General features: G+C 57.1%; 1 protein-coding gene across 1 annotated transcript, besides 2 other annotated features; it reads left to right on the top strand.

Moving 5' to 3' along the window:
• MYBPC3 (myosin binding protein C3) lies at window positions 1,976–23,272 on the top strand. Its single transcript, NM_000256.3, has 35 exons — window positions 1,976–2,055; window positions 3,173–3,439; window positions 4,063–4,176; window positions 4,566–4,664; window positions 4,756–4,904; window positions 6,137–6,254; window positions 6,773–6,821; window positions 6,998–7,027; window positions 7,199–7,252; window positions 7,649–7,651; window positions 8,034–8,051; window positions 8,308–8,471; window positions 11,054–11,186; window positions 11,416–11,418; window positions 11,533–11,657; window positions 11,743–11,848; window positions 11,934–12,100; window positions 12,522–12,687; window positions 13,434–13,540; window positions 13,646–13,675; window positions 14,888–15,027; window positions 15,274–15,354; window positions 15,999–16,158; window positions 16,884–16,988; window positions 17,099–17,287; window positions 18,667–18,801; window positions 19,469–19,636; window positions 20,668–20,756; window positions 20,926–21,121; window positions 21,345–21,484; window positions 21,705–21,864; window positions 21,976–22,112; window positions 22,420–22,606; window positions 22,797–22,833; window positions 22,962–23,272. The coding sequence occupies exons 1-34, from the start codon at window positions 2,031–2,033 to the stop codon at window positions 22,805–22,807; spliced, it is 3,825 nt and encodes a 1,274-aa protein (NP_000247.2). The 5' UTR covers window positions 1,976–2,030; the 3' UTR covers window positions 22,808–22,833; window positions 22,962–23,272.
• Window positions 2,352–3,332: an enhancer, noted in NCBI's record as "H3K4me1 hESC enhancer chr11:47372897-47373877 (GRCh37/hg19 assembly coordinates)". NCBI's record gives its function as "activates a minimal SCP1, AML or CMV promoter by ChIP-STARR-seq in naive H9 embryonic stem cells {active_cell/tissue: H9 hESC(naive)}" and the evidence as "EXISTENCE:reporter gene assay evidence [ECO:0000049][PMID:30033119]".
• Window positions 3,333–4,314: an enhancer, noted in NCBI's record as "H3K4me1 hESC enhancer chr11:47371915-47372896 (GRCh37/hg19 assembly coordinates)". NCBI's record gives its function as "activates a minimal SCP1, AML or CMV promoter by ChIP-STARR-seq in naive H9 embryonic stem cells {active_cell/tissue: H9 hESC(naive)}" and the evidence as "EXISTENCE:reporter gene assay evidence [ECO:0000049][PMID:30033119]".

Genomic DNA, 23,950 nt, shown 5'->3' with positions numbered 1-23,950 from the left:
GGAAAGAACAAGTCCTCAATTGTGATTAGGAGAGCAGATCCTATTTAAAAGCTCTCTACTCCTGATAGTTGTTGTTTTTAAGCCTTGATGAGGTTTGAACTCATGATGATGATGATGATGATGATGATGACCATGACCAGCAACAACATTTGATATTCTGGTCAATTAGTATCTGCCAACCTTGAGATGTGGAGTCTAATATCACTCCATTTTATAGAATGGGAAACTGAGGCTTGTAGAGGTCAAATTATTTCCCCAAGGTCACAGCCGTTGAGTGGCCAAGTTGGATCACACTCCAGGTCTGTCCCGACACGTCAACATGGAGTGGGAGGCCTTGCTTATCTGGAAGAGGATACTCTTCAGCATTCCGAGGACAGGAATTAAGCCCCAAAGCTCCTGTGGGCCGCAAAGGGTTCTCACGAGCTGCACGCCCAGCAGGACTTTAGACCCAAGTGAATCCCTGGTGGGACCCCCAGGTTCTATTTGCTTTCTAGCTCCTAGCCACAGCAGGGGAGAAACAGACCAAGCTGAGCGGAGAAGCCTGTAAGTCCTGTGTTTTCCTCCAGACGGTAGCAAGTAGTGGCAGTAGACAGCCTGGGAGTGAGGGACTTCCCAACGCTGTCAAAGACCTTAGGGAACCCAGATTCTGGGGCCATTATCGTAGGGACAAATACCCGCCCCACACCTCCTCAACCCCAGAGGGCTCACTGCAGCCCAACCCTGCAGCTCCCTAGTCCTACTGCAGGGCCACAAGAGAAGGCAAAATGGTGTTGTGTCTTCATTCTTCTATTTTTATTTTTTTTTTTTTGAGACAGGGTCTTACTTTGTTGCCCAGGCTGGAGTGCAGTGGCACGAACATGGCTCACTGCAGCCCTGACCCCCCGGGCTCAAGTGATTCTCCTGCCTCAGCCTCCCGAGCATCTGGGACTACAGGTGTGCGTCACATGCCTGACTGATTTTTGTATTTTTTGTACAGATGGGGTTTCATCATGTTGCCCAGGCTGGTCTCGAACTCCTGAGCTCAAGTGATCTGCCCGCCTCAGCCTCCCAAAGTGCTGGGATTACAGGTGTGAGCCACTTCGCCCAGCCCATTTTTATTTTTTTATTATTATTCTTTGAGATATTAATAATAAAAAATAATAATAAATAATATTTTTATTATTATTATCACTCTGTCACCCAGGCTGCAGTGCAGTGGTGCGATTTTGGCTCACTGCAGCCCGGAACTCCTTGGACTCAAGCGATCCTCCCACCTCAGCCTCCTGGGTAGCTGATACTACAGGTCCACACCACCACACCTGGCTAATTTGTGTGTGTGTGTGTATTTATTTTATTTTTTATTTTTTTAGTAGAGATGGGGTTTTGCCATGTTGCCCAGGCTGGTCTCAAACTCCTGGCCTCAAATAATCTGCCTGCCTCGGCCTCCCAAAGTGCTGGGATTACAGATGAGCCACCACACCCGGCCTAACATTTTTAAAATTATAAACCCACTTCATACGTGTGACAATCCTGTGCAGTGGGTGCTGCTTTCACCCACCCCGCTTTACAGATGAGGAAACCAGGTGCTTTGAGATTAAAGAGATGGCAGTGCTAGGACTCAGAGACACCCTGGCCCCAGGGTCTGTGGACATGACCACTGCCTGAACTGCCTGCGAGGATGCTCCTGACCCGTTAGCCTTAGGGTTATGGGCCCAGCATGCTCCCACCGTACAATTTGCTGTAAGAGGGACACACACGGGGCTTGGAGTACCCCTGAGGCTTGCCAAAGGTTGGGGAGGCAGAATTGTGCTGCGGGGGGTGAGGGGGGAAGGGACAGGAGCCAGCCAGGGACAATGTGGCCCTACCTTCTCCCTGGAGAGACCTCAGCTCTCTGGAATTCATCTATATTTAGCAGGTGGCTGGACAGGAGGCAGATAAGCAGAGCCTGGGGAGGGGGGAGGTCCCCATATATAGTGGGAAGGACAGGACCCCACTCAGTCCCTCTTTGGGTGACCTGTGCCTGCTTCGTGCCTGGTGTGACGTCTCTCAGGATGCCTGAGCCGGGGAAGAAGCCAGGTAGCTTTAGGACTGGGGTTGGGTCTAAGTGTGGGAGCAGGGGGGTGTCTACAATTGGGGAGCAGGGCTAGGAGGGAGTTCTTGAGGGGGTTGACGAGGACGTGGCCTCTGAGCCCCAGGACAGGGGCAGCCAGTCCTCCAGGGTCCTTTTTTGATTCTCGGTTTCTTTTTCCCATCCCTCTGATGAGAGGTGAAGGTAAACCCAAGGTCAGGGACGCAGAGAGGGGACACAGCCAAGACAGGAAGCACCCGGGGTCAACCCATTCTGAGAATGCAAAGGGACCCCTTCCCTGTCCCATTGCCTTCACCTTCCACAGCAAGGTTCCCCGCGGACAGAGCCCACGTTTAGTATGGAGCTGAGCCAGGCTCACGGCATGCCTTCAGACCAGTCTCTACCCACTATGGGTCTCAGTCTCCCAACCTGGGGTGCCGGGGGTGGTGGTGGCATTGGGTTGGTTCCTCCTGGCTGTGACATTATCTGCTTCATGAGCCTGTACGGTGTGGCCCCCATGTTGAGGGTGACACAGCCCCTCTTCTCTGAGAGAGGACAGTCAGGAGCCCCTGAACCCAGGCCAAGGGCAGGGAAAATCACAGCCCAGGGACCTGGGCCTGGGCTGTGCCCTTATGAAGGTTGTCCAGGGCAGAGATCCAGGTCCCCATCCCCCAGCGCCCTCCCAGGCCAGCTTTATCTCAGTTGCTGATACCCAGCCTGAGGTCCTTGGAGGACAAATTTGGCCACATTCCAAGTAGGCAGACTTCCCCGCCCCCTGCCAAGGGCCCGAAATGGTTGGGGGAAAGGGAGCTGGGTTCATCACGGGTGTCTCCAAGCAGGGAAAGTGGACACATGCAGAAAAAGTCTTGTTGGGAGGTCAGGACCACAGCCCTGGCTCTCCCGACTGCTAGCTGTGTGATCTTGGAGGAGCCGCTTAGCTTCTCTGAGCCTCAGTGTCCTCCTCTGAGAAATGAACAGAATAACTGCAACTACCTCAGAGAACTGGTAGAGTATTACGTGAGGGGATGCATAGAAAGTGCTAGCACAGTATTTACTGAGAGGGGCTGCAGGGGCGGGGTGCACGCTCCAACCAGGGGCCGCTGTAGCCTCCACCTGGCCCTTCAGTCTCAGCTTTTAGCAAGAAGCCACGGTCAGTGGAAGTGGCCGCAGGCAGCCCTGCCGTGTTCGAGGCCGAGACAGAGCGGGCAGGAGTGAAGGTGCGCTGGCAGCGCGGAGGCAGTGACATCAGCGCCAGCAACAAGTACGGCCTGGCCACAGAGGGCACACGGCATACGCTGACAGTGCGGGAAGTGGGCCCTGCCGACCAGGGATCTTACGCAGTCATTGCTGGCTCCTCCAAGGTCAAGTTCGACCTCAAGGTCATAGAGGCAGGTAAGATCCTGATCAGCCTTCCCTGAGGTTTGGGCTGCTGGGGGAGGGGCAGCCCAGCGACTCTCCATCCATCCAGGGAACAGGAGGTGCTTTCACACTTTCTTGCCTTTGCTGTGGCTGTGCCCCCCGCCAGGAACGCCCTTTCCCCCTTTTCTGCACATGACCTCTCTGAGTACCCCCATGTGCCATCCTGGCTTGTTCCAGCCATGGGGTAGGTGGGAGAGATGAACAAGACACAACCCCACTCTCCCCCTGCAGACCTCCCTGGGGAGATGACCCTGCACAGACGGCCGGGAAGCCCCAGGAGCTGTGGATGAGGGGAGTGCAGCCCAGTCTGAGGGGCTGCTCTAAGGCTGGGGCAGAGCAGGGATGGACCTGGAGCTGTTCAGGGCAGATGCAGAGGACATGGGAACTGATGGCCTGGGACGGGGAGGAGAATGTGAGAGGCAGGCTGGCTCTCCAGCTCAGCATGAGCTGCCTCTGAGGGGCCCAGGCAGCGGGAGGACAGCCATGGCAGACTTTCCTCATCCACAGCGGGCTCATGGGTCCAATGCTCAGGAGAGAGAGGGTGGAGGGGTCTCTGGTTAGTGGCTGCACCACGACTCCCATCTGATCCCCTCCAGAGAAGGCAGAGCCCATGCTGGCCCCTGCCCCTGCCCCTGCTGAGGCCACTGGAGCCCCTGGAGAAGCCCCGGCCCCAGCCGCTGAGCTGGGAGAAAGTGCCCCAAGTCCCAAAGGTGAGAGGGGCTGGGCAGGGAGGGGCAGGATCCGTGGGTAGGGCGTGTCCAGGGCAGGTCTCAAAAGCCTTTGCTGGGCCAGGTGCGGTGGCTCAGGCCTATAATCCCCAGTACTTTGGGAGGCCGAGGTGGGCGGATCATGAGGTCAGGAGATTGAGACCATCCTGGCTAACATGATGAAACCCCATCTCTACTAAAAATACAAAAAAATTAGCCGGGCGTGGTGGCGGGCACCTGCGGTCCCAGCTAACTTGGGAGGCTGAGGCAGGAGAATGGTGTGAACCTGGGAGGCGGAGCTTGCAGTGAGCCGAGATTGTGCCTCTGCACTCCAGCCTGGGTGACAGAGCAAGACTCCATCTCAAACAAACAGAAAAAGCCTTTGCTCACAGGGTCAAGCTCAGCAGCTCTCAATGGTCCTACCCCTGGAGCCCCCGATGACCCCATTGGCCTCTTCGTGATGCGGCCACAGGATGGCGAGGTGACCGTGGGTGAGTGTGAGCTGCTGTGCCCAGCATTGGGGTGGGAAGGGGGGGCAGCAGGACACTCCCCAAGCCGGGCCTGTCGCCCCTGCCTTTGCAGGTGGCAGCATCACCTTCTCAGCCCGCGTGGCCGGCGCCAGCCTCCTGAAGCCGCCTGTGGTCAAGTGGTTCAAGGGCAAATGGGTGGACCTGAGCAGCAAGGTGGGCCAGCACCTGCAGCTGCACGACAGCTACGACCGCGCCAGCAAGGTGGGTCCACCGGGGTCGTGGAGACACGGAGAGAGGGGACATGGAGAGCCCTAGAAGGCACAAGGCACACAGAGGGCACCATGAGACCCAGAGGCACACACGAGCTGCAAGCAAGGGGTGTGGGGAATCTGGGAGGCAGGTGGAGGGGCCAGGGGCCCACAGGGAGATCCCGGAGGCCTGGGGGCCAGGGAGTGCGATGAGGCTCATGGGAGCACTGTCGGGGACCTGGGAGACTTGGTGGACATGATCACCTCAAGGGGGCACCTAATAAGGTTTGGCCGGGGGTGGGGGGTCGCCCAGGGTGGTCAGGAAGCCTGGAGGACACTGTGAAGCATGGGGGCACCAGCTAGTGGGGTTGTAAAGCCCCTGGATGGGTGAGTATCAGGGCTAAGGGCTCAAGGGACTCTCAGGGATTAACCAGAACAATTCCTCATTATACAGACACGGAAACCAAAGCTTGAGAGGTTAAGTGGCTGCTCCAAGGTCACTTAGACATAGGCCTAGAACCTTAAGCCTTCGTTTTTTGTGTTTTGTTTTTTTCCGCCCTGCCCACCAGAACCTTAAGGCTTAAGTCCCCTTGTTTGTTCACTCCAAGCCTCTGCTTTTCCCAACCTTCCCCAGTCCTGGGCTAGGCAAGGGGGCCTCTAGCAAGAGAGGCCAACATGTTCTGCTGTGCGGGGCTGTGCATTGCACAAAAGCCTGTATTTCACCACAACCATGTGCCAGCAGATGGCAATCATGGGTTTCGAGATAGTCCCCTTTCTCTGTACAAAAACTCTGTATGGGTTAACTAAAGCCTGAGGGTGCGAAGATCGATGAGCATTTGTCACTCCCAGCCTCCTTTAAATATATATATATATATATAATTTGAGACAGGGTCTCGCTCTGTCGCTCAGGCTGGAGTGCAGTGGCTCAATCTCGGCTCACTGCAACCTCCACCTCCTGGGTTCAAGCGATTCTCCCACCTCAGCCTCCCGAGTAGCTGAAACTAGAGGTGTGCACCACCATACTTGGCTAATTTTCGTTATTTTTAGTAGAGACGGAATTTCACCACGTTGGCCAGGCTGGTCTGGAGCTCCTGGTCTTATGTGATCCGCCCGCCTCAGCCTCCCAAAGTGGGGATTACAGGCCTGAGCCACCGCGCCCGGCCACTCCCAGTCTCCTTTAAGGGTGCGGAGCCTTGTCTCCCGGCCCCTGGTGTCCCCTGACGCCCCGTCCCTCCATGCACACAGGTCTATCTGTTCGAGCTGCACATCACCGATGCCCAGCCTGCCTTCACTGGCAGCTACCGCTGTGAGGTGTCCACCAAGGACAAATTTGACTGCTCCAACTTCAATCTCACTGTCCACGGTGAGGGGGCCCTGGTGTCTGTCCTGGGCTCGGGCTCCCCATGGGTCCTGGTCTCCTACCTCCTTTTCCCAACACTAAGGAGGATGCCTCGTCCCATCCAGACATGAGTGCTGGCCACGTGCCCAGTGCTGCACACACAGGGTGTGAGAGAAACCCCAAGGCTTGCAGGGTAGGCGTGGGGGCTTAGGGCTGAGTCCGGGTCTCATCTGGGTGGGACTCTGTTTTATCATCTTGGTGTCACGGCTCCTGGCCCATGGCCTGGCACTGTCTGAATGTTTGGGCGATGGGTGAAGGTGAGTTGAGAGATGGGTGGGAATTGGGGACAATAAACCGTCCCACCTGCCTGGTACCTTGACCCTGGGAAAGGCTGGGAAGGTGAGATCCTGGGGCAGATGCCCAGCCTCATGGGGTCATGAATGGGCAAGTCTGTGAATACTCAGAGGCCGCCCCCAGGGCAGGGCTTCTCAAACGGCCCCCTCTGAAGCCCCTTCCCCCATCTCTCCACCCTTTGAACCCAGAGGCCATGGGCACCGGAGACCTGGACCTCCTATCAGCCTTCCGCCGCACGTGAGTGGCCATCCTCAGGGCCTGGGGGAGGCCAGTGCTGGAGTCTGAGGCCCTTCAGGGTCTCGACTGGGGGTCAGGGCTGGGGATGATTTGCGGGGCGGAGCTGAAGTCAGTGGGGGCTGCAGGGGAGAGCAAGCTTCCCAGGCAGGTGAGGATACTGAGTCTAACCCCCACAGGAGCCTGGCTGGAGGTGGTCGGCGGATCAGGTACCCCTGCCCCAGGCCCTACCTGCACCATCCGCAGACCCCCAGGGGTCTGAGACGGGTGGGAGCCCAATCTGGCTAGTGTCCCTTTCTCCCTCCCCACTCCACTCCCATCCTGCTCCTAATCCCTTTCCAGTCCCTCACTGCAGCCTCACTGGGGGTCCCTCTCCATAGTGATAGCCATGAGGACACTGGGATTCTGGACTTCAGCTCACTGCTGAAAAAGAGGTGAGTCCTGGGTGGCAGTTCCTGGGGCAGCTGGTGAGGCCTGGCTCCAAATCCCAGCACTGTGGTTTGCCAGCTGTGTGACCCTGAGCACAACACTGCACCTCTCTGAGTTGGTTTCCTTGTCTGTCGAGGGGATGATCCCAGTGTGGAAGGAGTTAAAGGGCTCTGCAGACATTATGTCCCGTCAACAGTCATCCTCACAGTGTCCCCCACGGCCACTCCACACTTGAGGCTGCAAAAGCTCCCTCCGTAAACTCCGGGGACCCAGAAGGAACAGAGAGAGGGTCCCCAGAGCTGCAGGGTCTACCAGGTCGGCCCAACTGACTTATGTTCTCTCTGCCCTCTCTCTCCCTCTCCCCCGGCCCCTCCATTATGGCTGCTGCTGCTGTGGCCCAGAGAGTAAGAATCGGGGTCTGGGTGTTTGGGGGCGGCAGGGCGCTGGTGGGTGCAGAGGGGATTCCCGTCCCCTCTCTGAGAGGCTGTGGTGAGAGACTCAGAGCAGGGTGCGGCTCCCCACGGACAGGGGTGAGTCTCTGTGCCTTGGGCTTCTCCTGCCACCCACCTATCTGTCAGAGCTTAGGAGGGATAAGAAAAAGTAATGCACACAGGAGGTCCTGCCAGAGCCTCCGGAGCAGCATGGGTGCCCCACAACACAGGGAGTGCAAGTGCGGAAAATAGGGAGGAAGTAAAGGCCCATGGGTGGGGTCCAGGTCTTTGAGGGAAGGTGGCCATACCTCTCATGTGCCACCTACCCTTTCTCCCACCCCCACCCCTGGAGCAGCAGTTTCCGGACCCCGAGGTGAGTGCCCAACATAGCACAGCACCCTCATCACCCCTAATTCTGCCAGGAGCCCCTCCAGATCCCCAGCCCCTCTTCAGCTCCCTTGGCCCCCAGTCCTGCCTGGCCTGGGACCCAGAGCAGCTCCAGCTGCCCCACCAGAAGGGAAGGGGCAGAGGGACAGGGGTGGCTACAGCTCCTTGGTCCTGGGCCCAGGAAGCCCCGCCCAGGGGGCTGCAGTCTTGCCCCCGGCCACAGCCTAGACTGCGGGACACAGGGACTCGAAGCTGGAGGCACCAGCAGAGGAGGACGTGTGGGAGATCCTACGGCAGGCACCCCCATCTGAGTACGAGCGCATCGCCTTCCAGTACGGCGTCACTGACCTGCGCGGCATGCTAAAGAGGCTCAAGGGCATGAGGCGCGATGAGAAGAAGAGCACAGGTTAGCCCTTCCTCAGAGGGGAGAGGAGAGGGCACAGGCTAGCCCTTCCCTACACAGGAGAGGAGAGGGCATAGGTTAGCCCTTCCCCACAGGGGAGAGGAGAGGGCACAGGTTAGCCCCCCACCTCGTCCACATACATGGAAAGAGCGGAGTCCGGCTTAGCACAGAGACTCACAGGAAAGAAGAGCCCAGGTTAACCCCTCCTTGTGTAGAAAAAGCCAAGAATGCCCAGGTTAGCCCCTTACCACAGAGATAGAAGAGAAGAGCAAAAGTTAGGCCAGGACAGCCACAAGGAAAAGGACAGAGCTCAGGTTAACCCTCCTCACCAAGGAAAAATCAGGCTACACTTTCTTTCTCTACCCTCTTCTGAAAAGAAATGAAGCCCGGTTAACCCTCTCCACACCCAAAAGAAAAGGGAAGAGGCCCGCTAAGCCTGGAGAGCCACACACAGGCAAAGAAAAGAGCCTGGCTAATCTTTCTCTCAGGCAAACAAAGCAGGAGGGCTTGGGTTAACTACCCTCACCCCCAGGCAGATGGAAAGAGGAGAGCCCAGGAATAGCCCTTCTCCACTGAGGGGTTGACAAGGGCGGGTGTGAGCCGGGAAAGCAGGGGTCTCACATGCCTTCTCCCCACCATGTCTGGGTCTAGCACAGGGCCTGGCACACACCTCGAGCGCTCTATAAACACCGACTGAATGGAGGGGTCAGCTTCCATGCAGGATATGGGAGACAAGCCCCTCCCAAAGCACACACACAAAACACACACGATCATGGGGACGGGGAGAGGAGCTGGTTAGTCCCTCCCTGCTGACCTCCCCCAGGCCCCTTATCCCTCTGCCCTGCCTCCCTGTTGTCTCAGCCTCACTGGGTTTCCCATCACCCCATCGCTAGGTGGCCTGGCCCTTACCGGCACCGTGGCCCCATTTAAGCCAGGGATCCCCTGAATGCCACCAATGTTCCTCTGGGTTAACTCCTGAACTGCTGAGCCCAGAGGGCACCAAGCAAAGGACTGTAGGTGCCCAAGGAGGAAAAGATGGAGGCTGGCAAGGCAGATGGGGACCTCCGAGGGTAGGGGTGTCTTCCAGGAATAGCAACAACAGTAAAAAGAGCAAATTGCTGGCCAGGTGCAGTGGCTCACGCCTGTAATCCCAGCACTTTGGGAGGCCGAGGCAGGTGGATCACCTGAGGTTAGGCGTTCAAGACCAGCCTGACCAACATGGTGAAACCCCGTCTCTACTAAAAATACAAAATTACCTGGGCATGGTGGCAGGCGCCTGTAATCCCAGCTACTCCGGAGGCTGAGGCAGGAGAATCACTTGAACCCGGGAGGCAGAGGTTGCAGTGAGTCAGGATTGTGCCATTGCACTCCAACCTGGGTGACAGAATGAGACTCCATCTCAAAAAAAGTGAGTGAGTTCCTTCCTAAGCCAGCCACTAGGTGCTTTATGTAATTATCTCATTTAATTCTCGAAACAACACTATGATGGAAGGACTATTACCATTTCCATGTTACTGAGGAAACCGAGGCACAGAGGGTTTAAGGAACTAGCGCAAGGTCACAGAGCACCCAGCAGTAGATCTCTGCCCCTCCGCAGCTGACTCCAGGCCCAGCCAGAGTATTTGAGGACTCAGGGGTCCTTCTCTGCTCGGTGGATGGAGCCCCCACTTCCTCCCTGGGCTCAGCAGCAGCAACATGGGCTTTTACAAACACGGCCGCAAGAGGAGGCATTGTTGTGGAGCAGGGCTGGGCTCAAGACCCAGCTCTGCCACACACCTGCTGGGCTGGTGGCATTGGGCCAGTCGCCTCTCTGAGCCCTATTTCCCCCACTGCAGCAGCATGGGGACCACCGCACTGGCCCTGGGGGCTGAGATGGGAGTGAGAGTGCTGGGCACAGAGGGCTGCTAGGTGGGAGCGCCTGGGAAGAGTACACAACTCAGGGGTTGCTGAGAGAAGAGAAGGCACAGCTGTCCCAGCCCCAGTTCTCCTGACAAGCTTCTGTCTTTCTGGAAGCCCCTAACCCAATCCCTGAGCTGAGCAGGTGGAGAGGACCCCAAGGAAGACAGAAGGACAAGGTCAGACAGACAGAGACAAGGAGGTGGGTTGACACATAGACACAGATAAAGAAATGAAGACACCATGCCTGTAATCCCAGCACTTTGGGAGGCTGAGGCGGGCGCATCACCTGAGGTCAGGATTTCAAGACCAGCCCGGCCAACATGGTAAAACCCCGTCTCTACTAAAAATACAAAAATTAGCTGGGCGTGGTGGCACATGCCTGTAATCCCAGCTACTCGGGAGGCCGAGGCAGGAGAATCACTTGAACCTGGGAGGCAGAGGTTGCAGTGAGCCAAGATGGCGCCATTGCACTCCAGCCTGGCCAACAGAGCAAGACTCTGTCCAAAAAACAAACAAACAGACAAACAAACAAAACAAAAAGAAATAGAGACACAGAGAAGTGGAAGCGGGGCGGCACAGAGGGGATTGGAGGGGGGGACCTGGGCCCCAGCCACAGCCACAGTAGCTTGGCCTGGGGGAGCAGGGTGCGGGCGGTGGGGTGGCCGGGGCTGAGGGGTGGTGCTCAGCCTTTCAGAAGAAGCTGGAGCCGGCCTACCAGGTGAGCAAAGGCCACAAGATCCGGCTGACCGTGGAACTGGCTGACCATGACGCTGAGGTCAAATGGCTCAAGAATGGCCAGGAGATCCAGATGAGCGGCAGGTGCAGCCTGGGGTGGGGAGGGGGGCTCGGGTGGAGGTGGGGACCCCCATAGCCTTGCCTCCTGCCCCTCTCCACATGCGTATCTCTGACTCGGTGTGGCTCTCAGCCCCATCTCTCTGGGCCTAATTTCCCATCCTTTTGCTCCTGCCGGTCCCTCTCTCTCTCTCCTTTTGTCTCGGGCTCACTTCCTCCCGTCGGGAACACTTCAACGGCCCCTTCTGTTCTACAGCAAGTAAGTTCCCCTCTGGATGGCTTGGGGTGGGGGGCACAGGGATTATCATGGGGCGCACTGGGCCCGGAGGGGTGTCCGCAGCTTTCCTGCCACTTCCCTGCGGCCCCCACCCAGGTACATCTTTGAGTCCATCGGTGCCAAGCGTACCCTGACCATCAGCCAGTGCTCATTGGCGGACGACGCAGCCTACCAGTGCGTGGTGGGTGGCGAGAAGTGTAGCACGGAGCTCTTTGTGAAAGGTGGGCCTGGGACCTGAGGATGTGGGAACCTGGGGAGGAGATGGCCTCAGGGGAGCCAACCCTCATGCTCACCCTGCCTGGACAGAGCCCCCTGTGCTCATCACGCGCCCCTTGGAGGACCAGCTGGTGATGGTGGGGCAGCGGGTGGAGTTTGAGTGTGAAGTATCGGAGGAGGGGGCGCAAGTCAAATGGTGAGTTCCAGAAGCACGGGGCATGGGTGTTGGGGGCATCTGCCCAGAAGAGGCCACAGCACTTGCCACCCACCCACCCGGCTAGGCTGAAGGACGGGGTGGAGCTGACCCGGGAGGAGACCTTCAAATACCGGTTCAAGAAGGACGGGCAGAGACACCACCTGATCATCAACGAGGCCATGCTGGAGGACGCGGGGCACTATGCACTGTGCACTAGCGGGGGCCAGGCGCTGGCTGAGCTCATTGTGCAGGGTGAGCCTGGCTGGGGGGGCACATGAGGCTTTAGGGCTTGGACCCCTCAGCCCCCACCCCACCTAGCCCTGTAGGGGAGCAGGCAAACCTGGGCTCAAGGCCTCTGTGACCTTGGGCCTTTGACAGCCTAAACCTCATCCTTCTCATCTCTAAAATGACGATGCTGAGGTGACCGCTCCAGAGGGTACTGAGAGGGTCATACGGGCCTGGTGAGCATCACCACCCCTCAGACACTTGAGGTTCCTTATGTGCACTGCACCATCACAGGCAAACATGGCACACACAGGCACACGTGTTTTCACATGCCCACATGCACCCAGACACGTGCGCACCAGCGCCCATGGGCCCACACGCCCTCCACAGGGATTCACGCCACACCCACACACCCTCCCGAGCTCAATGGCTCTGCCCTGCCCTGCAGAAAAGAAGCTGGAGGTGTACCAGAGCATCGCAGACCTGATGGTGGGCGCAAAGGACCAGGCGGTGTTCAAATGTGAGGTCTCAGATGAGAATGTTCGGGGTGTGTGGCTGAAGAATGGGAAGGAGCTGGTGCCCGACAGCCGCATAAAGGTGTCCCACATCGGGCGGTGAGTGTGCAGGGCAGGTGGATGGGACAGGTGGAGACTGAGATGGAGACAGAGAGAGACACAGGGAGAAACAGAGAGAGAGAGATAAAGACAGGTGGACAGAGAGGCAGATGCACAGAGACAGGACAGAGACTGAGACAGAGACCCACAGAGAGGGAGAAACAGACAGACCCAAAAAGACAAAGAGACAGAAAGACAGAAATAGTTCTATAGAGACAGAAAGATATGCACAGGGAGGCACACACATAGGAGAGTTCGTCAGAGACAGAGAAGAACAGAGGGACAGAGACAAAGAGGCAGCAGGGAGAGACACGGACGGGGTCGAGCGCTCCCCAGCACCCTCCCCCAGCTTGTGACCAGGGCAGGGCAGGAGGCCACCAAGGAGGCCGGCTCTGGCCAGAGGCCCTCACTGCCTCTCCCGCCCTCTTGCTCATCCCTGGAGCAACTGGGCTGGCCGTGCTGGGCCCAAGTTCACAGAGATTAATGAGACCCAGCCCCTGCCCAGTCTCCAAGGGCCCAGCCAAGGAGATGCTTTGATGTAGAAATCACTTTTACGCTGCCTACCTCTGAAGGCACATTAAAAAGCTGGAAAATTAGATAATATAGAAAAAAAAAGGCATTTTTAAAAATCAGAATACCAACAAGCCAGGACAAGGTGAGGGCCTCCTGGGACCCTGGCTGGGGTATCTGGCAAGGCCAGGGGTGTGTGGCCCAGTGGGGTCCCCTGAGCCACTGCTCCCCTGCAGGGTCCACAAACTGACCATTGACGACGTCACACCTGCCGACGAGGCTGACTACAGCTTTGTGCCCGAGGGCTTCGCCTGCAACCTGTCAGCCAAGCTCCACTTCATGGGTGAGCCTGCTCCAGGGTAGGGTGGGTCGGGGCAGTGGGGCCAGGAGCCCCTGTCACTGGGCCCTGCCTTTGCCCCCGTGCTACTTGCTCTTCCTTCTCTTGCAGAGGTCAAGATTGACTTCGTACCCAGGCAGGGTAAGTCTTGGGGCCCCTGAGTCTTGGTTCTGCTCACTTTCCCGCAACCCACCCACGCAGGCCTCCCCTCCACTCACAGAGGGAAGAGCAAGGATCAAAAGTGGGGGTCCTGGGGCCCAGCTTCAGCTTTGCCACTCATGACCATGGGTCAATTATAATCTCTGTGAGCCTCAGTTTCCTCTTCTCTAAAATGGGAACCCTGATAGTGCCACCTCATAGGATAGTTATAAAGATGAGGTGACATGATGTATCAGACCTGTCAAGTGCTGTCACATGTGTGACTGTTATTATTACATCTTTTCTTCTTCTTCCTTTTTTTTTATTTTTATTTTTTTTGAGACGGAGTCTCCCTCTGTCGCCCACGCTGGAGAGAAGTGGCGCGATCTCGGCTCACTGCAAGCTCCGCCTCCCAGGTTCACACCACTCTCCTGCCTCAGCCTCCTGAGTAGCTGGGACTACAGGCGCCCGCCACCATGCCCAGCTAATTATTTTTTGTATTTTTAGTAGAGACGGGGTTTCACCATGTTAGCCAGGATGGTTTCGATCTCCTGATCTCATGATCTGCCTGCCTCGGCCTCCCAAAGTGCTGGGATTACAGGCGTGAGCCACTGCGTCCAGACTGCTTTGCTTTGTTTAACTGAGGGCAGATTCCTGATTTATTTGGCCAGGGAACCTTTTTAATGTGTGCATGTGTGCGTGCATGTGTGCGCGCGTGTGTGTGTGTGCATGTGTCTGTGTGTGTATGTATATATGTGTGTCTGTGTCTGTGTGTGTGCGTGTATGTATGTGTATTTGTGTCTGTGTGCATGTGTGTGTCTGTGTGTGCATGTGTGTATGTGTATGTGTGTCTGTGTGTATGTGTATATGCGTGTGTGTGTGTGTATTGTGTGTGTGTGTATGTGTGTGGCAAGACACTGATGTTCCCCCAGTTTTCAAAATGCTATGCTAGGTGACCTGACCTGAATATTACAAGCCTCCCAGCCAACGTCCTGGGGTGATGGGAATGTTCCAGATCTTGGTTGGATTAATAATTGCATGGGTGTATTCATCTGTCAGAACTCAGCCTACTGTCAGATCTGAGCATAAACTATACCTCAATACAAATCTAAAAAACCAATAACCAGGGGCCCAGGCTCTTGAGCAGCCCCGCCCCAGTGACCTGTGCTCCTCCTGGCTCTCCCGTTTCTCTGAACTACATTGTGTCTTCTGCAGAACCTCCCAAGATCCACCTGGACTGCCCAGGCCGCATACCAGACACCATTGTGGTTGTAGCTGGAAATAAGCTACGTCTGGACGTCCCTATCTCTGGGGACCCTGCTCCCACTGTGATCTGGCAGAAGGCTATCACGCAGGTACTGTGGGTCCCTCCTCAGTCTCCCCATCTATAAGATGGGTGTGTGGAACCAGCCAAGTGCTAGGACCTGCTGCACACCCCACCCACATGTGCACGCCCTGCTGTTGGCTACCCCATGGGAGAGACTGGTCAGGGGGCAGGCAAGGTGGGCAGTGTGGGTCAGGGGGTGGAAGAAGCAGCAGAGGGGCGCTTCCAGGCTGAGTCAGCTCCTCTGCTCCCTACTTCCCTCCTGCCCTGTTCCCAGGGGAATAAGGCCCCAGCCAGGCCAGCCCCAGATGCCCCAGAGGACACAGGTGACAGCGATGAGTGGGTGTTTGACAAGAAGGTGAGTGAGACTGAGGTCAGGAGGAGGCTCGTTTGTCTTTCATCACTTTCTACCTACGTGGTGCCGAGCCCTTGGCGAGGTCTCCATGGAGGTGCCACACTTGGCCGGGTGTGTTGCTGCCCCCAGCAGGGTCCCTGTGGGGCCCTCACACCTCAGGCAGAGGGTCTCTGTGAAGTGTGCTGATGGCCATCACAAGGATGTGGACACCCTCTCATTGCCAGGAAGCCCTCATGACTGGGCTGCTCCCTGGCTCCCTTCATCCTAAGCTGACCTTGACCTTGACCTTGTGCTCCCTCTCAACTCAGGAGTAGTTTCTGAGACACTTTTCTGCCAGTGTAGCTGCCGGGGTCTTGCTCCTGCCTGGCACTGTTGGTTCTTCTGAAGGCTGGGGTCTTGAGGGGTCCTCATGATAGCTCATCTGAGAGGACAGGTGGTTGCCCCAGGTCCCGTGACAAAGCTAGAACCCGAGCCCCTGCCCTCAGTCGGTGCCACAGAGATGATTTTGAACTAGATGCTGACGTGGATGCAGTCTTCCCACAGGCTGTGTTCCCCCCATGGACCCCCGGGACATCTGGCTGTTGGCGGAGGCTGCAAGGGCCTCTGGGGTCTGACTTGGATCTCACCCCAACTCTGCACCCCCCCAGCTGCTGTGTGAGACCGAGGGCCGGGTCCGCGTGGAGACCACCAAGGACCGCAGCATCTTCACGGTCGAGGGGGCAGAGAAGGAAGATGAGGGCGTCTACACGGTCACAGTGAAGAACCCTGTGGGCGAGGACCAGGTCAACCTCACAGTCAAGGTCATCGGTGAGGCCGGCCGGGGTCCAAGCTGGAGAACACAGAGGGGCAGCCCCAAGGAGGGCCCATCCGTTCGCTCATTCAGCCACTCGACAAACATCACGGGCATGCTCCCTGAGCCGAGCGGCAACAGGACAGGTTTTTCTGCCCAAAAGGAGCCCCGCTCTGGGGGAGATGGAGGCAGATGCATCCAGCAGATTTCCTGCGACACTGCTGTACATGAGCCATGTCCAGAGTGCCGTGGGAGCACTGAGCAGAGAGCCATCCCTGTGCCTGGGGGTGATGCCTTTAGGAGGCTGAGAAGATGGTGAGGAAAGGCATCCCAGGCAGAGGAAACTGTGTACAAAGGGGTGGAGGAGGGAAAGGGCCTTTTGGGTGTGGAGAATGAATGAAACATGTCAGGAGAGGACTGGGTGGGGTTGGGAGGATCAGAGCCAGGACAGGGGTGAATATGGGCAGTGAGAAGCCTTAAAGGGTTGACGGAGGGCTGGCGACATGATCAGAAATGCATCCTGTTGAGACCCAGCCTGGACAACACAGTGAGACTCCATATCACTAAAAAAAAAAAAAAAAAAAGGAAAAGAAGAAAGAAATGCATTCTAGAAAGATCTCTTTGGATCTGGGGGTGGTGGGGGCAGCCTGTGGCGGTTAGTTGGAGTGGGAAGGGGACGAGCAACGTTACTCAAGGCCCTGAGCGGGGCAGGGCTGATGTGGGTCCATCCCACCCCATCCAGACGTGCCAGACGCACCTGCGGCCCCCAAGATCAGCAACGTGGGAGAGGACTCCTGCACAGTACAGTGGGAGCCGCCTGCCTACGATGGCGGGCAGCCCATCCTGGGTGAGTGCAAGGGCACCGGATGGAGGTGTGAGGGCGCCAAACAGATCCGAGGGAAGGTGGTGTGGGGATGCCTGGGTTCCAGACCAGAGCTGCCACCTCCCCTGAGCCAGGCTACATCCTGGAGCGCAAGAAGAAGAAGAGCTACCGGTGGATGCGGCTGAACTTCGACCTGATTCAGGAGCTGAGTCATGAAGCGCGGCGCATGATCGAGGGCGTGGTGTACGAGATGCGCGTCTACGCGGTCAACGCCATCGGCATGTCCAGGCCCAGCCCTGCCTCCCAGCCCTTCATGCCTATCGGTGAGCCTGCCTGGCCTGGTCCTGCCCCCCGCCCCCTCCCCAGTTAAAAACCTCCAATAATAGCAGGTGCTCTGCAGGCAGCCATGCTAGACACTCACATCCACAGTCTCCTTTCATCCTCGACTGGGGATACTCAGCCGCATTTTACAGATGAGGAAACAGGCTCCAAGCAGTTAAATGACCTGCTTGAGATCTCCCAGCTGGTTGGGGTGGAGCTGACTCTCACACTACGCCGACCCCTAGTTCACGTTTCAAGCCTCTCTTTCCATGTCTACAAAATGGGAATAATGACACTGCCTATCTCAGAGAGCTGTTAGGATGATATGGGATGACCAGGCAGGCCATCTGGCATCTAACAGGTGCTCAATAAATGTTCATTGTCCCCTGTTCTCCACACCCTTCAACCCAGGGTTTTCACCTATGGGATGGGGCAAGGGCTGTAGTTAGTGGAGGGGTCTCAGGGGCATCTGTCTGTGGAAAGAGTCCTGGACCAAGACTCAGAGATGGCAGAGGCAGCTCCATGGTCCCCGGGGGGCCAACTGGAGTCATCCCTCCCTGAAGCCTCAGCTTCCTCATCTGTATAATGGGGTCTGAGTGGGCAGAACAGGTGTTGAGACTGTGGCAGGGCTCAGGAGGACACCTGTTCCCACTAGGGTGGGTGAGTCCGGGGGCAGCTGCCTGTGGCAAGGGCAGGCCAAGGACCCCTGGGCCCAGGGATGGGGCACAGCTTGGGAAGATGGCAGGAATCGGGGCCTGTGGGGAGAAGGGTCCAGGCCTCTCGTTTTAGGGACTGATTCCTGGTTTGTTCAGTTCTTAGTCAACTCACCTAATCATACGTGCCAGGAAATTCCCATGTTTTCTGTAGTTTTAGTTTTAGTTTTTTTTTTTTTTTTTTTTTTTTGAGATGGAGTCTCGCTCTGTCACCCAGACTGGAGTGCAGTCCTGGCGCGATCTGGGGTCACTGTAACCTTCACCTCCCAGGTTCAAGCAATTCTCCCACCTCAGCCTTCTGAGTAGCTGGGATTACAGGCATCCACCACCATGCCCAGCTAATTTTTGTATTTTTGTAGAGACGGAGTTTCACCATGTTGGCCAGGCTGGTCTTGAACTCCTGACCTCAGGTGATCCTCCCACCTCGGCCTCCCAAAGTGCTGGGATTACAGGCGTGAGCCACCGTGCCTGGCTGCTGTTGCTGTTTGTTTTTAAGCCAATCTACAGACATGTCTTGTAACAGGGACAAAATATTCCTTAAAGTGGCCAAAAGCCAGCTGAACAGGAAGTGCCCCCTATGTGACCAGTGGGCAGTTCAGAGTCTAGGGCATGGATCTCCAGCTTCCCCAGGCTTGCTCAGACCCCTCTCTGACCTCTCCTCTGCCCAGGTCCCCCCAGCGAACCCACCCACCTGGCAGTAGAGGACGTCTCTGACACCACGGTCTCCCTCAAGTGGCGGCCCCCAGAGCGCGTGGGAGCAGGAGGCCTGGATGGCTACAGCGTGGAGTACTGCCCAGAGGGCTGTGAGTGTCCCCGCCCCCAACCCCCCTCCCCAAAGGAAGAACATGCTCACCTTGCCATTGAGCAGATTCACCTGTAGTCAAGTTTTTTAGGCCCACTTTTGCCGAAAGTTGAGGACACCCAGAGAAATATCTGTCCTGTTTTCAGAAGTAAAAAAGCTTGCCTAGTGAAAAACAAATGCAGAGTAAAGCTGACTGTAACACTTCTTTGAGCAGTGCGAAATCAGCAACTACATTTTAAAAACATATTTAAGGCCAGGCGCGATGGCTTACGCCTGTAATCCCAGCACTTTGGGAGGCCAAGGTGGGCGGATCACCTGAGGTCGGGAGTTCGAGACCAGTCTGACCAACGTGGAGAAACCCCGTCTCTACTAAAAATACAAAATTAGCCGGGTGTGGTGGTGGGCACCTGTGATCCCAGCTACGCGGGAGGCTGAGGCAGGAGAATCACTTGAACTCGGGAGGCAGAAGTTGCGGTGAGCCAAGATCATGCCATTGCACTCCAGCCTGGGAGACAAGAGCGAAACTCCATCTCAAAAATAAATAAACAAATAAAAATTTAAAAAAACATATTTAAATCCTGGAGATTCCTATCAGAGGAGTGGGCAGTGGGAGTGGGGTGTCAGTGGTGACACAGCCTGTGGCCTTGCCTCCCCCTCCCCACCCCCAGGCTCAGAGTGGGTGGCTGCCCTGCAGGGGCTGACAGAGCACACATCGATACTGGTGAAGGACCTGCCCACGGGGGCCCGGCTGCTTTTCCGAGTGCGGGCACACAATATGGCAGGGCCTGGAGCCCCTGTTACCACCACGGAGCCGGTGACAGTGCAGGAGATCCTGCGTGAGTGCCCCTTTGTGCAGTCACAAGACCCGCCATTGACACCCCAGGCCCTTGGTGTCCAGTGGAGGTGGGGACAGTTGGGGAGGCCCAGAATGCTCTGCCCAGAACGCTGGGCAGAGACAGGAGGGGTTGGAGCCATCGTCCATGCGCTAGGCCTAGGGAAAAAGTGCAGAGAGGGTGGCCAGGCACAGTGGCTCAAGCCTGTAATCCCAGCACTTTAGGAGGCCAAGGCAGGCAGATCACTTGAGGTCAGGAGTTTGAGACCAGCCTGGCCAACATAGTGAAACCCTGTCTCTACTAAAAATACAAAAACTAGCCAGGTGTGGTGGCGCGTGCCTGTAGTCCCTCAACTACTTGGGAGGCTGAGGCAGAAGAATCGCTTGGACCCGGGAGGTGGCAGTTGCAATGAGCTGAGATCACACTATTGCACTCCAGTCTGGGTGACAGAGTGAGACAACGTCTCAAAAAAAAAAAAAGTGCAGAAAGGGCTCTCTTGGTGTATGTCAGTCCCTTAGTTCTGGAACAGGGAAAGTAAAAGCCACAGTACCCAAGCTCTCTTCCAGGAGTGTCTCAGCTCCAACAGGTAAATATTGTCTATGTAGTCAGATTGGTCCCTCTGGGATCCACTTCCCATTCCTTTGTTCCTTGTCCCAACAAAGGGTCCATCTTTTGTAAGGATTGGTTCTCAAAGCTGGAACGAGGCAGCAAACTCAGGTGGTAACAACACAGGGCATAGGGTGTCAAAGCCCAGGCTTACACCCTGGTCTATGACTTACTAGCTGTGTGACTTCAGTCAAGTTGCTTACCCTCTCTGATCCCTGCCTTTTGAAGTGGTGAGGCTCGGGGAAGCCAGCTGGGCTTGGGCAGCCTGGAGTTGCTGTGTTAGCAGGAGCTAAAGGAGGCGCAGGGCCCAGCAGGCAGCTTTTTTCTTAGCTGCAGCTCTCTGGGCCTTGTCTCAAGGGAGGTTGGAGCTGTGGAGCCCCTCAGAGCTGTGGCGGGCCCTCACTTAGCTACCCACTCTATACCCACAGAACGGCCACGGCTTCAGCTGCCCAGGCACCTGCGCCAGACCATTCAGAAGAAGGTCGGGGAGCCTGTGAACCTTCTCATCCCTTTCCAGGTGGGACTGGCCCCCTTCCCTGTCCCCCAGGGGAGAGAGGCTATAGTGTGTTGTTCCCATCCAGTGGACTGATGTCTCAGGGCTGGCCTGATCTGAGGTACCAGAGGCTGGGGTGGCGGCCGGCCCTTGGAGTGATCCAGGTTCAGGGTTAAGCTTTTCCTCCCCTCAGGGCAAGCCCCGGCCTCAGGTGACCTGGACCAAAGAGGGGCAGCCCCTGGCAGGCGAGGAGGTGAGCATCCGCAACAGCCCCACAGACACCATCCTGTTCATCCGGGCCGCTCGCCGCGTGCATTCAGGCACTTACCAGGTGACGGTGCGCATTGAGAACATGGAGGACAAGGCCACGCTGGTGCTGCAGGTTGTTGGTGCGTGGCCAAGGCCTCCTTGAGCCCCCTTGTTTCCCTTCCCTGGGCTGGGCTGCTGGGGCCAAGGGTGGGGCCAGGGGACCCAACCCACAGCTCACATTTTCCAGTCCACTGCCCCAGCAGGCCTGGCCCTGGTTGGCAGGGGTGGGGTGGTCCCTGGAGCCAGTGACCCCCTGCTCACTGTCAGGAGGCGTGGTGACCCAACTGGGTCTGTCTCCCGCAGACAAGCCAAGTCCTCCCCAGGATCTCCGGGTGACTGACGCCTGGGGTCTTAATGTGGCTCTGGAGTGGAAGCCACCCCAGGATGTCGGCAACACGGAGCTCTGGGGGTACACAGTGCAGAAAGCCGACAAGAAGACCATGGTGAGCCCAGGGTCTGGGGTCCCCACGTGCACCCTGCCTAGGCCCGGCAGACCCAGGCCGCAGCTACCCTTCACTGTCCTCACCGTGGACCCCTCACCCTCCCTCTGCTGATCTGAATCCCTCCATAGTAGGGGTGGAGATGCCAAGGGCACCCAGGAGAGGCTCTCGGCATCAGGAAGGGCCTGGCCCAGAGATGCCTCCCCTCCCTCCCTGCCCCCAGGAGTGGTTCACCGTCTTGGAGCATTACCGCCGCACCCACTGCGTGGTGCCAGAGCTCATCATTGGCAATGGCTACTACTTCCGCGTCTTCAGCCAGAATATGGTTGGCTTTAGTGACAGAGCGGCCACCACCAAGGAGCCCGTCTTTATCCCCAGACCAGGTGCTGTACCCTCATTCTTCCAACCAGGGGCTGGGGCAGGGAGGCTGTGGGAACAGGGAGAGGGGCCTAGCTTTGTGTGGCCCTCTCGGTACCAAGTCCTGTCACCAACAGGCATCACCTATGAGCCACCCAACTATAAGGCCCTGGACTTCTCCGAGGCCCCAAGCTTCACCCAGCCCCTGGTGAACCGCTCGGTCATCGCGGGCTACACTGCTATGCTCTGCTGTGCTGTCCGGGGTAGCCCCAAGGTAGGGAACTTTAGGCGCTGGTCCAGGCCGACCAGGAGGCAGGGCTCACAGGCCCCGACGTTGAGCAGTCCTCTCCCCAGCCTGTCTCCCCTGCTTTCTCTCCACCTTGGGGTGTATGGACCGGGTTCCTCCCCCTGGGCAGGGCCATGGTACTCACTCTTGGTTCCATGTTTGTTTCCAGCCTTGGGCATAGTCAGGGACTCTCGTGGGACCCCCCGAGTAGAAACACAGATGTGTCTCCCTGGGTCCCTGCCAGGTCCCCTCTCAGCCTGGATGGCTTCCCTCCCTCTCTTTACCTTATTTATAGCCCAAGATTTCCTGGTTCAAGAATGGCCTGGACCTGGGAGAAGACGCCCGCTTCCGCATGTTCAGCAAGCAGGGAGTGTTGACTCTGGAGATTAGAAAGCCCTGCCCCTTTGACGGGGGCATCTATGTCTGCAGGGCCACCAACTTACAGGGCGAGGCACGGTGTGAGTGCCGCCTGGAGGTGCGAGGTGAGGAGCCCTCGGGGCCAGGGCCTGGGAGATGGGAAGAGCGGGCGGCAGTGGGGACCCTGGGCTTTGCTCCGTTGTCCTCGGCCAAGCACCTGCCCTGGCTGCAAGGGCACGGACCCTGCCACGCCCAGATGGGCAATAGCTTCCAGAAGGCTGGGAGGACACAGTGACATGGCCTCCTCTTCTGCAGTGCCTCAGTGACCAGGCTGGCTCCTGGGGATGGCCAGGTATGTACCACCCGACACCCAGGGCACAAGTCAGTGGCTGAGCCCTGGCCCTTGGTCCTGGGGCAGCCATCAGTAAATGGGAGGCTGTAGGGGCCCTCCATTCACTCGTAAGATAACCTGTGTTGCAGGTACAACCGGATGCCAGCCCCGTGCCAGGAGCCTGGAGGGAAGTTGGGGAAACCCCTCCCTACTGTTGGATGTATGTGTGACAAGTGTGTCTCCTGTGCTGCGATGGGGGATCAGCAGGGCAGTTGTCGGGCAGTCCTGAGTGGGTGTTGCACAGACTGGTCCACAGGGCTCCTGAAGGAAGCCCCTGGATCTTTGGGGTAAAAGGAGGGTGGCCTCAAGAAACAATGTCTGGGGACAGGCCTTTCTGGCCTGCTATGTCTTCCCAATGTTTATTGGGCAATAAAAGATAAGTGCAGTCACAGAGAACTCACTCTTCTCAATTTCGGTGTGCCTGTTTTCATAAAAATGCACAGGGGATGGCCAGGTGCGGTGGCTCATGCCTGTTATCCCAGCACTTTGGGAGGCGGAGGCGGGCCGATCACCTGAGGTCAGGAGATCAAGACCAGCCTGGCCAACATGGTGAAACCCCGTCTCTACTAAAAATACAAAAATTAGCTGGGCAAGGTGGCGCGCCTATAATCCCAGCTATTTGGAAGGCTGAGGCAGGAGAATCACCTGAACCCAGGAGGTAGAGTTTGAGGTGGGCCGAGATCATGCCACTGCACTTCAGCCTGGGTGATGGAGTGAGACCATGTCTCAAAAAAAAAAAAAGAAAAAAGCCCAGGGACATTGATCTTCACAGCAAAGTGAGAGCAGATACTGTTTTTTGTTTTGTTTTCCCGATGATTAAACCAGGCCCAGAGTGGTTTCTGAGTTCATAAAACATTAACGCTAGAAGGAACCTGTCTTCCCCTACAGCATTCACTCTTCAGATGATGAAACTGAGCTGTGACAGCGGAAAGTGCATTTAACTGGTCCCAGGTGCTCAGCGTGATCCTTGTGCCAGGGGCCGTGGTCACAACCGCCTGGAGGTGGGGTGAGGCAGAATCTCAGTGTTGTGATTGTGCTGGGGTGGAGCTGCACTAGGTGGCTTTGGAGTCCCAGCCAG

This window comes from Homo sapiens, chromosome 11 (assembly GCF_000001405.40).
Source record: "Homo sapiens chromosome 11, GRCh38.p14 Primary Assembly".
Taxonomy (NCBI): Eukaryota; Metazoa; Chordata; class Mammalia; order Primates; family Hominidae; genus Homo; species Homo sapiens.
The sequence above is the reverse complement of the archived record's forward strand: the minus strand, read 5'-3'. Positions and strand labels throughout refer to the sequence as shown.